Genomic DNA, 14524 nt, shown 5'->3' on the forward strand with positions numbered 1-14524 from the left:
CACTCCAGCCTGGGCGACAGAGTCTCCATTCCCCCCATCCCCCCAACTCCAAAAACAAACAAACAAAAACACAACTTGCTTTCACTTTACCCTATGGACTTGCCCTGAATTCTTTCTTGTGCAACATCCAAGAACCCTCTCTTAGGGTCTGGATCCAGACCCCTTTCCAGTAACACTTCTGTTTTTCTGGAGAACTCAGAGTAATACAATTTGTGACTGCGTCTTGTTAAGGAACTATTTCCCTACCCTGAGGTCCTGAAGATGATTTTCTTTAGTTTCTAAAGATCATAAAGTTTTGCTTTTCAAATTCAGGTCTTTAATCTAACCGGGGGTTATTTTAATGTATGCTACAAGGTAGGAAGCCATTTTATTTTTTTTCCAAATGATTAACAAGTTGTTCAGTGTTATTTTAAAACAATCCATCTGTATTAGTTTCCCAGAGCTGTCATAACAAATTACCACAAGCTGGGTGGCTTAAAACAACAGAAATTTATTTTCTCACAGTTCAGAAGGCCAGAAGTCTGAAATTAAGGTGTCAGCAGCACTGGTTCCTTCTGAAGATTCTGAGGGAGAAAACCTCCCATGCCTCTCTCTTAGCCTCTGGCGGTTGCCAGCAATCCTTGGCTTGTGGACACATCACTAATCTTTCTCTCCATCTTCACATCGTTTTATATTCTGTTTCCCTGTGTCTTCTCCTCTTCTTATAACGACACCAGTCATTGGATTTAGGGCCCACCCTAAATCCAGGATGAGTTATTCTTAAAATCTTGAGCTAATTACATCTGGAAAGACCCCATTTCCAAATAAGTTAATATTCTGAGGTTCTGAGGGGACATGAATTTTGCGGGGTACACTATTCAGCCCACTATATAGCATCATCTTTTGCTACTCTTTTGCAAATTCTATTTCTGTTGTTTATCCAGTGTCCATTTATGTGTGGGCAGAGTGGTCATTTTATAATATAAATCTCTGATGAAATGGTTAGACATTTTTCATGAGATAATCTTATTTAATCCTCACAGCAGTGCCGTGAGGTAGATGCTACTAAAATCACCTACTGTTGAGAGGTGTGCCAGTCAGCATTTGCTAAGTATGACGTGATAACAAACAACCCCAAACTCTCAGTGACTTACAAAAAGCCAATTGCTTTCTTCATCACATTACACATCACAGCTGTAGATTCACTGCAGCTTTGCTCTGTGTCTTTTCATTCCAGGGTCCAGGCTGAAGGTGCAGGCCCTATCCAAGACACAACATTTCCAGTGGCAGAGATAAAAAAGTAAGATTTCAGACTCAAACATGCAATGGCACTCCAAGTTTCTGCTTCGAACTGGCATGTATCTCTCTAGCTCACATTTCATTGGCCAAAGGAAGTCATGTGGTTAAGCTTGACAATGGGCTGGGGAAGTGCACTCCTTCCTCTGGAAGGTACACAAGTCACATGGCAACTGGCTAGGATGGATAATTCTCTTACTGGCCAAGGGAAGGGCAAATAATGGAGAAAAATAATACGTCAACCACAGGGGTTGAGTAACTTTCCCAAGATCAAACCACTGGGAAGGGACAGAGGCAGATTCAAACTCAGACAGTCTCCAAAGCCATAGTGAACTCCATGGCTCCCTACTGCCTGTTAGATGGAATCCAAATATATTTAAGCTTTAGGGCATTCCTGCAGCCTGGAGGGCCCTTCTACCTAATTTGTGTGCTGAATTCACTCTTTAAGGCTCCACTCCAATCTCAACTCCTTGGACTCACTCTTATTTGTCATGTGTTCCCTCTGCTCTAAGGCCCTTGTACAGTGTTCCCAAATGTTTGCAGTATTTTGGGATGAAAGGAGTGAGGGGCACAAGCTGCAAGTGGACTGTGCTCCTGAGGATGAGAGCACTTTGCCTACTTTTCCACCCCTCTAAACTAAGCTTAGTATCTTGTGCTTGGGTGACTCTGACAGGTCAGCCCCGCATGACTCACTCTGTAAGCCTTCAGCGCGGGTCACCACAAGGTCCTGGTTTAGGGTGTGTGAGTTGGTGGGTGGGGAGGGGAGGTGGAAATTAACTTTCACCTTTCAGGAACCTTTCCCTTCCCCAGGAGAAGGACAAGTGTAAGTCCTTCCCTTAAGTAGTCTGGGCAAGTCTCTACTCATCACTCCTAGGAGGACTGGGGAGGTCCTGGAAGGTGCAGAGGAGGAAGCTCTGAGAAGTAGAAACAGCACCAAACTGCACCATAGAAGACTTTACTAATTTGTCCAAATGACAGAATTTACCTTCTCTGAGCTTCAGTTTCCCCAGCTATAAAGTGGCAACAACACTGATCTTGCCCTCCTCCCTAAGTTGCTACAAAAAGACATAGTAAAAATCTTTAGGGTGCCGGGCAGGGTGGCTCACGGCTGTAATCTCAGCACTTTGGGAGGCTGAGGCAGGCAGATCACCTGAGGTTAAGAGTTCGAGACCAGCCTGGCCAACATGGTGAAACCCCATCTCTACTAAAAATACAAAAATTAGCCAGGCATGGTGGCAGGCACCTGTAATCCCAGCTACTTGGGAGGCTGAGACATGAGAATCGCTTGAACCCGGGAGATGGAGGTTGCAGTGGGCAAAGATAGTGCTACTGCACTCCAGCCAGGGTGATGGAGCAAGACTCCATTTCAAAAAAAAAAAAAAAAAAAAATCTTTAAGAATGCAGCCTTGAAATCGCACAGACTTGTACTGGAATCCTTCTCATAAGCTATGTGACTGAGAAAGTTATAGATCTTCATAAGCCATTACAGCTACCTCCCAGGGTGAGAAAATTATGTAAATAAATTTCCTAACATATACTAAGTACTCAATAATGTTGGCTATTCCTATATGAGATGATGAAACTTATTATTATATAGGGAAAGTCCCAGACGAGGACCCATTTTTGAACATTGAAAGGAGGGAGTACAGAGGCTAACTTTTCTTAGAATTGGTTGCTTCTTTTAGCCAAGTATAAGGTGTGGCTCAAAGGAATGAGGAAGCAGTTAATGAGGTGACAGGGCACAGAATACTGTTTGTCTTCACAGATCTTGGGGGAGGGATACAGTGGTTAGCTGACCTTCCCAAAAGATCAGAGATCCTGGTGTCTTGTCCACCCACAGATGCAGGCCACTTGACTCTGTCCTGTCCCCTCCTACCAGTCCAGTCACCACGTTCTGGTGAGGCTGCCTTTGAAATAATAATAACAATGGTACTTGTACTAATGATATTATTACTTTGAAGTGTATGAAGGCTTTCTAATACATCATCCCAGTTATCCTTCATTATCTCTCTCCCATTCACAGAATCCAGAGTTAGGAAGGATATTGCAGATCATTCTGCATTTTACAGATGGGATCTCTGAAATTTGAATAAAGGAAGGGATCTACTCAAGGGCTGGGATTTACCTGAGACTACACAATAAGTTAATGGCAGGGGCAGGACTAGAACCTGCAGCTCCTGACTACCAGCCTAGTGCCAGTGCCTCTTTCAAGTCACACTTGCATTGGCTTTCCATTCCCATGGCCTCCCAGTCTATTCTTTTTTTTTGTTTTTTGTTTTGTTTTGTTTTGTTTTGAGACGAGTTTCGCTCTGTCGCCCAGGCTGGAGTGCAGTGGTGTGATCTCGGCTCACTGCAACCTCCGCCTCCCGGGTTCAAGCAATTCTCTGCCTCAGCCTCCCAAGTGGCTGGGATTACAGGCACCCACCACCATGCCTGGCTAATTTTTTTGTATTTTTAGTAGAGACAGGGTTTCACCATGTTTGCCAGGCTGGTCTTGAACTCCTGACCTTGTGATCCACCCTCCTCGGCCTCCCAAAGTGCTGGGATTACAGGCATGAATCACCGTGCCCAGCCCCAGTCTATTCTTTTATCTCCTGGACCACTGCAGTGGTTTCCTACTGGTCCTGCCTGCCTCTGATCCCTCCCCACCCATTTCTTCTACACATACAGTCACATAATTGTCTGGAAGCACAGCTTTGATCTTGTCTTTCCCTTCCTAATAGAACTTGCCCATTTTTTCAACTTGAGAGGTCACCAGGATCCTAGTTCAATTTCCCAATGAAGACTTAATCTTTCCTTGAATACATATATTGACAAGGAGTTCATCACTCCCAAGGTGGTCCATTCCATTCTTGGGTAGCTCCAACTGTTAGGGAGTTCTTTATAGTGAGCTGAAATTGTCTTCCTGGATATCCCCCCACTGGAGGTGATGTGATGGAATTCTCTTTTTTTTTTTTTTTTTTTTGAGACCGAGTCTCACTGTGTTGCCCAGGCTAGAGTGCAGTGGTACAATCTCAGCTCACTGCAACCTCCGCCTCCCAGGTTCAGCAATTCTCATGTCTCAGCCTCCCGAGTAGCTGGGACTTACAGGCATGAGCCACCAAGCCTGGCTAATTTTTTTGTGTTGTTAGTAGAGACAGGGTTTCACCATGCTGGCCAGGTTGGTCTCAAACTCCTGGCCTCAGGTGATCTGCCTGCCTCGGCCTCCCAAAGTGCTGGGATTACAGGTGTGAGCCATCACACTTGGCCCCTTTTTGTTTTTTTTTTTTTTTAGACAGAGTTTCACTCTTGCTGCCTAGGCTGGAGCGCAGTGGTGTGATCTTGGCTCACTGCAACCTCCACCTCCCAGATTCAAGACATTCAGCCTCCCAAATAGTTGGGATTACAGGCATGTGCCACCACGCCCAGCTAATTTTGTATTTTAGTAGAGACGGGGTTTCACCATGTTGGCGAGGCTGGTCTCGAACTCCTGACCTCAGGTGATCCACCTGCTCGACCTTCCAAAGTGTTGGGATTACAGGCGTGAGCCACAGCACCTGGCCAATGGAATTCTTTCGTATCCATTCTGGCAGCAAATCTGTAGTCATTGTTTCATAGGAACCAGGTCCTGGATGGACTAGGTGCTGAGGAGAACAGCATATAAATTTGATATGGATCCTTCCCTCAGAGAGGGTGGCCTAGGAGTTTGCTAATGCAGAATTTTTTGTTTTGTTGATTAGACCTAAACGAAAGGAAACAAAGCAAATCCTCTTTCTGTATGATAGTCCTTCAGAGGTGTGGAGATAGTCACCATGTCTACTCTGTGCTTTCCCTTCTCCAAGCTATTTAAATCATTCATCATACAGCATGGCGTCCAGGTCCTCTACGTTCCGGTCTCCTGTAGACATGCTCCAGTCCCCCTAAGAATATGGGGCTCACAAATGAGCTTGGTGGTCCAGCTGTGATCCATCTAGGGCAGAGCTGGCCCAACTTTTTTTTTTTTTTTTTTGAGACGGGGTCTCACTCTTGTTGTCCATGCTGGAGTGCCGTGGTGTGATTTTGGCTCACTGCAACCTCCGCCTCCTGGATTCAAGGGATTCTCCTGCCTCAGCCGCCCGAGTAGCTGGGATTACAGGAGTGCGCCACCACGCCTGGCTAATTTTGTATTTTTTTTTTTTGAGACAGAGTCTCACCCTGTTGCCCAGGCTGGAATGCAATGGCACGATCTCGGCTCACTGCAACCTCCACCTCCTGGGTTCAACCAGTTCTCCTGCCTCAGCCTCCTGAGTAGCTGGGATTAAAGGCACGTGCCACCACAACTGGCTATTTTTTTTTTTTTTTTTTTTGTATCTTTAGTAGAGACAGGGATTCACCATATTGGCCAGATTGGTCTCGAAGTCCTGACCTCGTGATCCGCCTGCCTCGGCCTCCCAAAGTGCTGGGATTACAGGTGTGAGCCACTGTGCCCGGTCAATTTTGTATTTTTAGTAGAGACAGGGTTTCACCATGTTGGCCATGCTGATCTCAAACTCCTGACCTCAGGTGATCTGCCCGCCTGCCTCGGCCTCCCAAAGTGCTTGGATTACAGGCATGAGACACTGCGCCTGGCCTCAACTCTGGTTTCCGTTGATAGAATATTCATATTCACTTTCTCCTCCTTCCTTTCTTCGCTTTCTCCTTCCTCCTTCTCTTTGTTCCCTCCTCCCTCCCTCCCTCCCTCTCTCTCTTCTTTACTCCTTTTCTCCCTTCCTTTCTTTCTTTTTGGCAGCACGTTGCATTGTTGAGCTTGAGGTCAACTAAAACCTTTAAGTCACTTTCACTGTAATTACTGTTGATTGAGATTCTTTCTACACTGTATTTGGGGCACTTGCTCATTTGGAAGGGCACTGTCCAATATGGCAGCCATTGTGGCCATTCAAATTTAAAGTACTTAAAATTAAATACAATTATTATTTTGCATTTCCTCAGTTGGACTAGCCACGCTTCAAGTGCTCAATAGCCACAGAGGGCTAGTAGCCACTGTATCAGACAGCAAAGATTCAGGACATTTCCATCATCATGGAAAGTTCTGTGGGACTGCTCTGGTTTGGACCTAAGAGCAGGAGTTTATACTTACAATCTGAGGCACGTCATCTTGAGAGTTCCAGCTCAGCCTCCAAAACTGCTGAGAGCTTTAAGAAACTGATTCTGGTTTCCGGAGTCTTCATTTTCCCTCCCAACCTCATGACAACAGTAGATTTGATCAACGTTTCATACCTTCCTCTGCTTCATCTAAAACCAACTGATAAAAATACCCAGCAGAACAGAGAGGCTTGCAATCGAGCCCTCTATGTGACACCCTGCTCTCCAGTCCCATGCGGCAGTTGTGCAGTCATTTAACAAATTAGGCCTATATCCTAGGTGCTGTGCTGGGTACCAGGTACCTACAAGGAAGTCAGAAGACATCAATTAAAAAAAAAAAAGAGTCCTGCTGAGTTGGGTGCTCTAGTAGTTCAAATGTCTTTGCTTCCCATTCAAGGCTGCCTCTTCTGTCTGTTTTGTGGTTGTTAAAAGTGGAAGCTTGGGGCTGGGCACGGTGGCACACACCTGTAATCCCAGTGCTTTGGGAGGCCGAGGCAGGCGGATCACTTGAGTCCAAGAGTTTGAGACCAGCCTGGCCAACATGGTGAAACCCTGTCTGTACTAAAAATACAAAAATTAGCTGGATGTGGTGGCATACACCTGTAATCCCAGCTACTCAGGAGGCTGAGGCAGGAGAATCACTTGAACCCAGGAGGTGGAGGTTGCAGTGAGCCAAGATCGTACCACTGCACTACAGCCTGGGTGACAGAGTGAAAGTCTCTCTCAAAAAGAAAAAAAAAAAAAACGGAAGCTTGGGAGTCAGCTTCCCAAGTTTGGATCCTAGCTCTGCCACTTTAGAAGCTATGTGATGTCTTTGTGTTTCTGTTTCAGCATGCATAATGTGGGAATAAGAATAACCTCTAATGTTATTGTGAGAATTAAACGAATTAATGCAAATAAAGATCTTAGAACAATAAATATAGTAAGTGTTCCTAACCGGTGAGTTATTATCAGTTCTTATTGTTAATCATAATCTTCCTTCCTGGACAAGCCATGTTCAGTCCTGCTTTGGGGCCTCAGTTCCTTAGTTTTGCCCTCCCTTAGTTTGTGTAAGTCCTTGGAGGCCCAAGCCCTGCCTCTCCTTCCTGCTTTCTTATGTTCTCAGCTGCTCACTTTGCACCTGCTCTTAGTATCCTATACCTGAGGCATGGACCACAGTGAAGAACCAGAATTGTTGGGCTTCATCTTGGCTCTGTGCTGCCTGGAGGGGAGACCTAGGATAGGCTCCTGATCTGCAAAATGGGGATAATCCCAGCTGCCACTTAAGTGAGACAAGTAGGTGAAAGCTACTTAGCAGGCCTTTGCATGTCTTGACTTCCAGTAAAACCCTGGCAAGTGAATGACATTTGCATCTTCCCTGTTTCTTCCTTTAGCATCTAACAAAGGAGGCTCAGGCTCATTATTCCGGGCACTTCTGGAGGGCCTGGCCCTGCCCCAGGAGCCCTAGGGCAGGAATTCCTTTCTTTATCTATAGAAGGCAGACACTTCATCCCTGCCCCATCTTCTTTCAGATGCTATCTTGGGCTCGCTGAACACGGGTTAGTTCCTCCTCTCTCCTAGCCTCAGTGTGTACTCCAAGAAGGACCTAAAGGAGCGCCTATACGGGCCGTGGTGGTTATAACCCTAATTTAGAAAAGCCCATTACTTTGGGGGTGTTTGGGCTTGTGGAGGGTGGGCGTCGGGATCCCAGAGCCAGGGACTCAGCCCTTGGAGAGTCCCCAGAGAGTCCAGAGGTTGCCACCTGCGAGGGGCTGGAACGCACTGGGCTATCCTCCGCGAGCCCTGGCCGCGGGAACAATGGGAGCGCGGCGTGGAAAAGGGTGGGCGTGGGCCAGGTCCTGGCTGGAGGTAGACGAGGTCGGCGAGCTGGGCGCGGGGCCGCGGGGTTACCCCGGGGCACCGGGCACAGAGCCGAGAAGTCTAAGCTAGGGAAAATCGAGGTCGGCGCTGGCGGGAACCCGGGAGGACGTGGGGGCCCCGGGTGGGGTCTGCTCCTCTTCTTCGCCCGGCCTCTGAGCCCGCCGCAGCTCAGGTTGACGCCGGGCCCACGTGGGGAAGCCGGCGGCGGGTCCCCAGCGCCGGGAGGGTTCGCGGGGCTCAGCCCCTTCCTCTGCTCCCCTCCCCGGGACCGGCGCGCGGCCCCAGCTCCGGCGGCTCCGGCGGCTCCGGCGCTCCCCTGGTGTTGGCTGCTCGCCGCCGCTGCTTGCTCGTTCGCCCGCCCGCTGCTGCTTGGGGGGCCGGGATCGCCGCCGCCTCCTCCGGGGGAGCCGGCCGGGGCGGGGCGGAGCGGCGAGAGGGGGTGTGGGGGGCGGGCGAGGAGGGGGCTGAGCGCCGTGGGAGGGAGAGCAGGAGCGAGCGCGCGAGAGAGCGGGGCATTTCTGCGCAGCTCTAGCGCGCCTCGGAGCCCGCCGGGGCAGCCGCCGGACACCAGGACCGCGAGCCAGACAGCTCCCGGAAGCCGCGCCGCCGCCGCCAGGTTAGCCGCACCCGCCGTCCCCCTCCGCGTCCCGGGGACCCCGCCGCGTCGGGTCCCGCGTGTGCGTGTGGGGTGGCCGCCGAGGGCGGCGGGCTCGATTCCCGATCTTTGGGCACTGACAGGCCGGCGGGCCGGCTCCAGGAGCCGCGGGCTTCGGTTCGTGTGTGTGGGGACTGTCGCGGGTTTGTGTGTCGGGGCTCCAGTCTCTGGGTGTGTGTTAGGTGTGAGCGCGCGTGTGCCCGTGGATCCGTGCGAGCGGCTGCTCGGTGTGCGCGCGCGTGCGTGTGTGCGCCGGGTGTGCATCTGTGTGTGCGTGTGTGAGGGTGTGTGCCTTGCGTGTCTTCGCGAGTGGTGCGTGCGTATCTGGGTGAGGGTGCGTGTGTCTGCGTGTGTCTGTCGGTGAATGTATCTGTGAGAGGGTGTGTCCGAATGTGTAGCAGTGTGTACACCTCTGGGTGAGGGCGTGTGCCAGTGGCTTCGCTTGTGGCTGCAGCCTGTGGCGGGTGTGGGTGTGTGTGTGCGCGCGCGTCGCTGTGTGCGCGCCAGTGTAACTCCCGTGTGTGCGCGTGTGAGTGCGGGTGTGCTCCCGCGTAGCCCCCGTGTGCGTGTGCGCGGCTTTGTCTTCGCACTGCCGGGAGGAAGCGGTGGGGGCGGCGGTCCAGGCGCCGCCGCCGCTGGGAGCTGGGCACCTGGCCTGGGCGGTGGGTGGCGGCGGCGGGGGTGTCCCTTCCCCGTCGGGCAGAGACTCCCTGCTGGCAGGTGGGCGGCCACACCCCGGGGGTCGGGGGAACTGGGCTGACAGCAGAGCCCGCGTTCTGACCTGAGCTGGAGAGGAGGGCGTGTCCTGCTTGAAGCCCGTGTGCGTGCGTGCGTGCGTGTGTGTGTGTGTGTATGTGTATGCGTGCGCGCGCGTGTGTGGATGTGGGTGTGGGTGCGGGGTGGTGGTGGTAGCAACAGCAGTTTCCAGGCTGGTGACCAGCCGGTTCAGGGATTCATTTCCTGTTGTGGCCAGGGGACATGTCCCCTCCGGCCTCCCCCCAGCCCCCCACCAGACCTAGCCTGTGCCAGTCTCACCCGTGCAGGGCTCTGGGTGGGTGGGAAGGTAGGTGGGTAGAAGCTCAGGTGCCCTGAAAAGGACTAGGAGGGAGAACCACTCTCTTAAAGGGCCAGCTCCTCACTCCAGGGAATCCCTCCTCAGGAGACCTCTCTACTTTGAAAGAGATGTCTCTGGGTATGTCCATACCCCTTTCTCCAAGTACTGGTGCATACAGGCATTTCTAGATCTGTAGTCTGTGTGCATGTGTCCTCCCTGTGTACTTCTTGTACATTTGGGTGTATAGTGAACAGTGAAAATGTATCTCTTGATGTATATGTGTGTGTGTTTTTATAGGTTCTGGTATATTTGTTTTTATGTATGTGTAGTTGTTTGTATATTAGTCTGTGCATGTGGGTTTGCAGAGAAGTGGCATTTTGCTGCCAAATGGAATAGAAGAGAAACATTCTGTACCGGGCCACGCCATTTTTGAAAAACTGCGTGAAAAGGAAGTTTGGGAATTTAGTCTGTGGCTTTGTGGGTTTCAGATACCGGTACTGAAATGTAGGTAGGTTGGATTTTGACTGTGATACAAGGGTAGAGAGAAGTAGAGTCTTATAGGAGGAAGAAATTGTTCAGAGAGAAGGATATCCAAGTGCAAGAATTCTTCCATTAGTTCCAGTTCTTCCCCGTAACGTCACATCCCCCTTTGCTGCTTGGCTTGCCAAGATACAGGACACAGGATTTGGAGTGCAAAGGGAGGGAGCTGGGAGTGTAAAAGGAAGGAAGGTGGATGGGTGATAGGATTGGGGGCCAGCAGCAGATTTCTGCAATTCTTAAAAATGTTTCCCTGCCAAAAGCAGCAGAGGCTGGGGAAAGCTGAGCTTTCTGTCCCCTCCTTGAATCCCAGAATCCCGGGACATGGGAAAAGCTGGCCTGGAGTTCATGAGCTCTGGAGTCTGGGCCAGAGATCTTTTGCCTTGTTCTGTCACCGAGACTGGAGTGTAGGCAGTGTCACGATCTCAGCTCACTGCAGCCTCCGCCTCCTGGGTTCAAGTGATTCTCCCGCCTCAGCCTCCTCAATAGCTGGGACTATAGGAATGAGCCACCACGCCCAGCTAATTTTTTTTTTTTTCTTTTTTGAGACAGAGTTTCACTCTTGTCGCCTAGGCTGGAGTGCAATGGCATGATCTCGGCTCACTGCAACCTCCTCCTCCTGGGTTCAAGCAATTCTTCTTCCTCAGCCTCCCAAGTAGCTGGGATTACAGGCACCCACCACCACGCCCGACTAATTTTTGTATTTTTAGTAGGGACAGGGTTTTGCCATGTTGGCCAAGCAGGCTTTGAACTCCTGACCTCAGGTGATCCACCCGCCTCGGCCTCCCAAAGTGCTGGGATTACAGGCATGAGCCACCGTGCTCGGCCTAATTTTTGTATTTTTAGTAGAGACAGGGTTTCACCATGTTGGTCAGGCTGGTCTCAAACTCCTGACCTCAAGGGATCTGCCTGCCTCCGCCTCCCAAAGTGCTGGGATTACAGGCATGAGCCGCTGCGCCCAGCCTGGGATCTTCTTTTGACTTTAGCCAACCCCTTCATGTGTTTATCTCTTCACCCAACACTTTTTATTAAGCTTCTTTATGTGAAAGGGTCTAAACTCCCTAAGCCTTGGTTTACCTGGCTAGGCAGCTAGTGGGCTAGATTTTGGGACTTTGATGACCCTTCCCTTGCTCAGATTGCTAGAGTTTGTCTCGTTGTTACCCAGGTTCAGGAATCCACCCTTCTAGTCCCCAGAGATCCTGGCCATGGTCCTCACTACTAATCTCCCCACCAATATACTCTAGTCTAGAGCTGTGGTTTTTTCACCTCACCAACAGCAGCAGGGTTACCTGGGAGTTTGTTAGAAATGCAATTTATTGGCAGGGCGTGGTGGCTCACGCCTGTAATCCCAGCACTTTGGGAGGCGAGGCGAATGGATCACCTGAGGTCAGGAGTTCGAGAGCAGCCTGGCCAATATGGTAAAAATACAAAATTTAGCCGGGCATGGTGGCACGCGCCTGTAATCCCAGCTACTAAGGAGGCTGAGGCAGGAGAATCGCTTGAACCCAGGAGGCGGAGGTTGCAGTGAGCTGAGATTGCATCACTGCGCACCAGCCTGGGTGACAGAGCGAGACTCCATCTCAGGGAAAAAAAAAAAAAAGAAATGCAATTTCTTGGTTCTCACGCCAGACCTAGGAATTGATAACTCTGGAGGTGTGGCCCAGCAATCTATGTTTTAACAAACACAGGTAATTCTTATTTACTCTGGAGCTCAAGAGAGGTGGAGACAGGGAGCCAGGAAACATCTATTAATTGAAACACTTGGAAAGCCTCCCCTGTCCCTCACACAGGTGCCTGAAATAGCACTCAGGCCCCACCTGGTAGGTAGGAATTCTGCTTTCAAGTCCCAGGTCTTATGATCTTGGACAAGTCTCTCCTTCAGTGACTAATGCAATGACTCTTTGACAGTGTGCTGTGGACCAGGTTCTGAGCGAGGGGTTTCCCTGATCTGCTCAGTTTCTCCAATTCTTACTTTGATCTCTAAGGCCCTTCAGGATCCAGTTCCTGCCCACTTCTCTGGACAACAGCCACTTTGGCCTTTTAGTTCATCTAGGCACCATGAGCTCTTTTGCTTCTGGGATTTTGCACATCCTGTTCCCTTTGTCTAGCACACTCTTCCCCTGCTTCTTATCTTGATTAACTCCCACTCTTCATGTTTCAGCTCAATAGTCACTTTCTCAGGGGGGCCTTTGCCAACTCTCTAGGCCAAGTCAATTTTCCCTGTTACACATTCTTAGAGCTCTCTGTGTCTCACAGGGCTTGTGAGAATTTGTAATTGTTGTTTGTCCCTTTACTAGACTGTAAATGCCATGTGGGCAGGAACTTGCTTACTAATCTTCTTAGTGTCCCACACAGTGCCTGACTTATGATTTGTGTTCAATAAGCTTGTCAAACTGAGTTAATTTATAAAATGGCAGATGGCACTAAATGATACCCAAAGTTTCGTTTCAAGCCCTGACAATGTGTAATCCAAGCAGGCTTCAGCCTTTTCTCAAGTTGATTTACCTGTCTTTTTCAATGCTGCATCTCCCATCTCCTGGCTGTAGATTTGAGCACTCACCGTGGGTCCAGGCCCATGCTGGGCTCTGCTCTAGTGGAGGCAGGAGGAGGCTCCTCAGGAGACACAGCCTAGCTTGGGTTCTGTGTCTTCCTGGATTAGGTTTGTACTGGAATGAGAAGAGGAAAAGTATTGAAAGAGGAATCCAAATATCTGCGTCCATGCCTTGTTATGTGACTGAGGGCCAATCACTTTCCCCTTTTGGCACGTGTCCATCTCTGTAAAATGAAGGTATTGGGATGGGTGGCACACTTAGTAGTGGTTACTAGCACTGGCTCTACAGTCATTCGGGGCTTGCCATGTACTAGCTGGGGGGACTAGGGCAAGTGATTCCATTTCCTCATTTCCTTACTTGTAAAACAGGACCAGTACTAGTATCTGTTTCACAGGATTGTTTTGATAATTAAATGAGATAACATCCTTGGAATGCTTAGCATAATGTGAGTGCATAAGAAACATTTGATAAATGTCAACTATTATGACCATTATTGCTACTCCACAATTCAGCTCAACATTCTTGAAGGCCTTTGTATTGGGCCCTAGGCCTACAAAAACAGAAATGAATCCAGCAGTATTCACAGGTTGGGGGTGGGAGCAGACATGTAAAGATGCAATACCACCGCAAGGACAATGTACAAGCTGCCAGGGTGTGGCTGTTTATGGAGGAAAAGGCTTCCTGGAGGACAGAGATGGTGTTTGGGCTGGATTTTACCGTCTGGGTATTTGAAATAGCATGTGCAAAGGCAGAACGGCTTCTTAGGGGAACCCCAAATAGTTCCACATGGTTGGAATAGGAGGTGGTGAGTGGCAGGGATGAGGGTGGAGGAGTGAATGACTGGAGATAAAGCTGAGAGGAAGATTAGGGACAGATCTGGTGCAGGCCAAAGAGCCTGAGCAAGTCCTGCAGACGGCAGGGAGCTGGGGAAGAGGAGTAAGCCAACCAGGAAGGATCAGATTTGCATTTCAAAAACACAGCTCTCCAGGTGGTGACAGAGGATGGTTGGTCTGGGAGGAAGGGAAGGACTGTTGACCTGGAGACCTGGGCACAGAGGCTGCTAAACAAGCTCAATGGGAGGCCCCACTGGGGTGGATAGATACCTAGAACAGGCTGTTCTAGGAAGCTTTTTCCTCTGTAAGCCTGTCTTCAGCCTGGTTTCACGACAGCCTGGCCCTGGAAGGTGCAGGAGAGGTGAGAGTGACTTCTCATGAGGAGCCTCTGGGTCCTCTTTAACCTCTAAAGCTGCCTAATGAGTGGGAATCTGAAAAACAGAGTTTGAGGGTCCTAGGTCTGCTACTCAAAGGATGCACAGTGTATTAACTTCCTAGGGGTGCTGTCATGAAGCACGCAAACCAGGTAGCTTTGAACCACAGACATTTACTCCCCCACTTGTGGAGGCTAGAAGTCTGAAATCCAGGTGTCAGCAAGGTTGGCTCCTTCTGGAGGCTCTGGGGCAATCTGTTTCCTGCCTTTCTCCTAGCTTCTGGT

At 49.9% G+C, this 14524-nt stretch overlaps 1 protein-coding gene across 13 annotated transcripts in view, besides 6 other annotated features; it reads left to right on the forward strand.

The window, feature by feature from the left end:
• Window positions 7414-8366: an enhancer, noted in NCBI's record as "NANOG-H3K27ac-H3K4me1 hESC enhancer chr20:34679298-34680250 (GRCh37/hg19 assembly coordinates)". NCBI's record gives its function as "activates a minimal SCP1, AML or CMV promoter by ChIP-STARR-seq in naive H9 embryonic stem cells {active_cell/tissue: H9 hESC(naive)}" and the evidence as "EXISTENCE:reporter gene assay evidence [ECO:0000049][PMID:30033119]".
• Window positions 7452-14524, forward strand: part of EPB41L1 (erythrocyte membrane protein band 4.1 like 1) — a 141386-nt gene continuing 134313 nt past the window's right edge. For 12 of the 13 annotated variants that reach the window (NM_001258330.1, XM_047439972.1, XM_047439975.1 and 9 more), the window contains exon 1: window positions 8748-8851. The gene's annotated coding sequence lies outside the window, so the exon portion shown is untranslated. Of the gene's footprint in view, window positions 7651-8747; window positions 8852-14524 lie in introns of those variants that run through there. The other variant, NM_001258331.2, reaches the window with a different exon arrangement.
• Window positions 8750-8899: a silencer, noted in NCBI's record as "silent region_12867". NCBI's record gives its function as "represses an Ori minimal core promoter by ATAC-STARR-seq in GM12878 lymphoblastoid cells {active_cell/tissue: GM12878}" and the evidence as "EXISTENCE:reporter gene assay evidence [ECO:0000049][PMID:35858748]".
• Window positions 9321-10272: an enhancer, noted in NCBI's record as "H3K27ac-H3K4me1 hESC enhancer chr20:34681205-34682156 (GRCh37/hg19 assembly coordinates)". NCBI's record gives its function as "activates a minimal SCP1, AML or CMV promoter by ChIP-STARR-seq in naive H9 embryonic stem cells {active_cell/tissue: H9 hESC(naive)}" and the evidence as "EXISTENCE:reporter gene assay evidence [ECO:0000049][PMID:30033119]".
• Window positions 9620-9829: a silencer, noted in NCBI's record as "silent region_12868". NCBI's record gives its function as "represses an Ori minimal core promoter by ATAC-STARR-seq in GM12878 lymphoblastoid cells {active_cell/tissue: GM12878}" and the evidence as "EXISTENCE:reporter gene assay evidence [ECO:0000049][PMID:35858748]".
• Window positions 11401-11902: an enhancer, noted in NCBI's record as "H3K4me1 hESC enhancer chr20:34683285-34683786 (GRCh37/hg19 assembly coordinates)". NCBI's record gives its function as "activates a minimal SCP1, AML or CMV promoter by ChIP-STARR-seq in naive H9 embryonic stem cells {active_cell/tissue: H9 hESC(naive)}" and the evidence as "EXISTENCE:reporter gene assay evidence [ECO:0000049][PMID:30033119]".
• Window positions 13766-14274: an enhancer, noted in NCBI's record as "NANOG hESC enhancer chr20:34685650-34686158 (GRCh37/hg19 assembly coordinates)". NCBI's record gives its function as "activates a minimal SCP1, AML or CMV promoter by ChIP-STARR-seq in naive H9 embryonic stem cells {active_cell/tissue: H9 hESC(naive)}" and the evidence as "EXISTENCE:reporter gene assay evidence [ECO:0000049][PMID:30033119]".

This window comes from Homo sapiens, chromosome 20 (assembly GCF_000001405.40).
Source record: "Homo sapiens chromosome 20, GRCh38.p14 Primary Assembly".
In the NCBI taxonomy this organism is placed as follows: domain Eukaryota; kingdom Metazoa; phylum Chordata; class Mammalia; order Primates; family Hominidae; genus Homo; species Homo sapiens.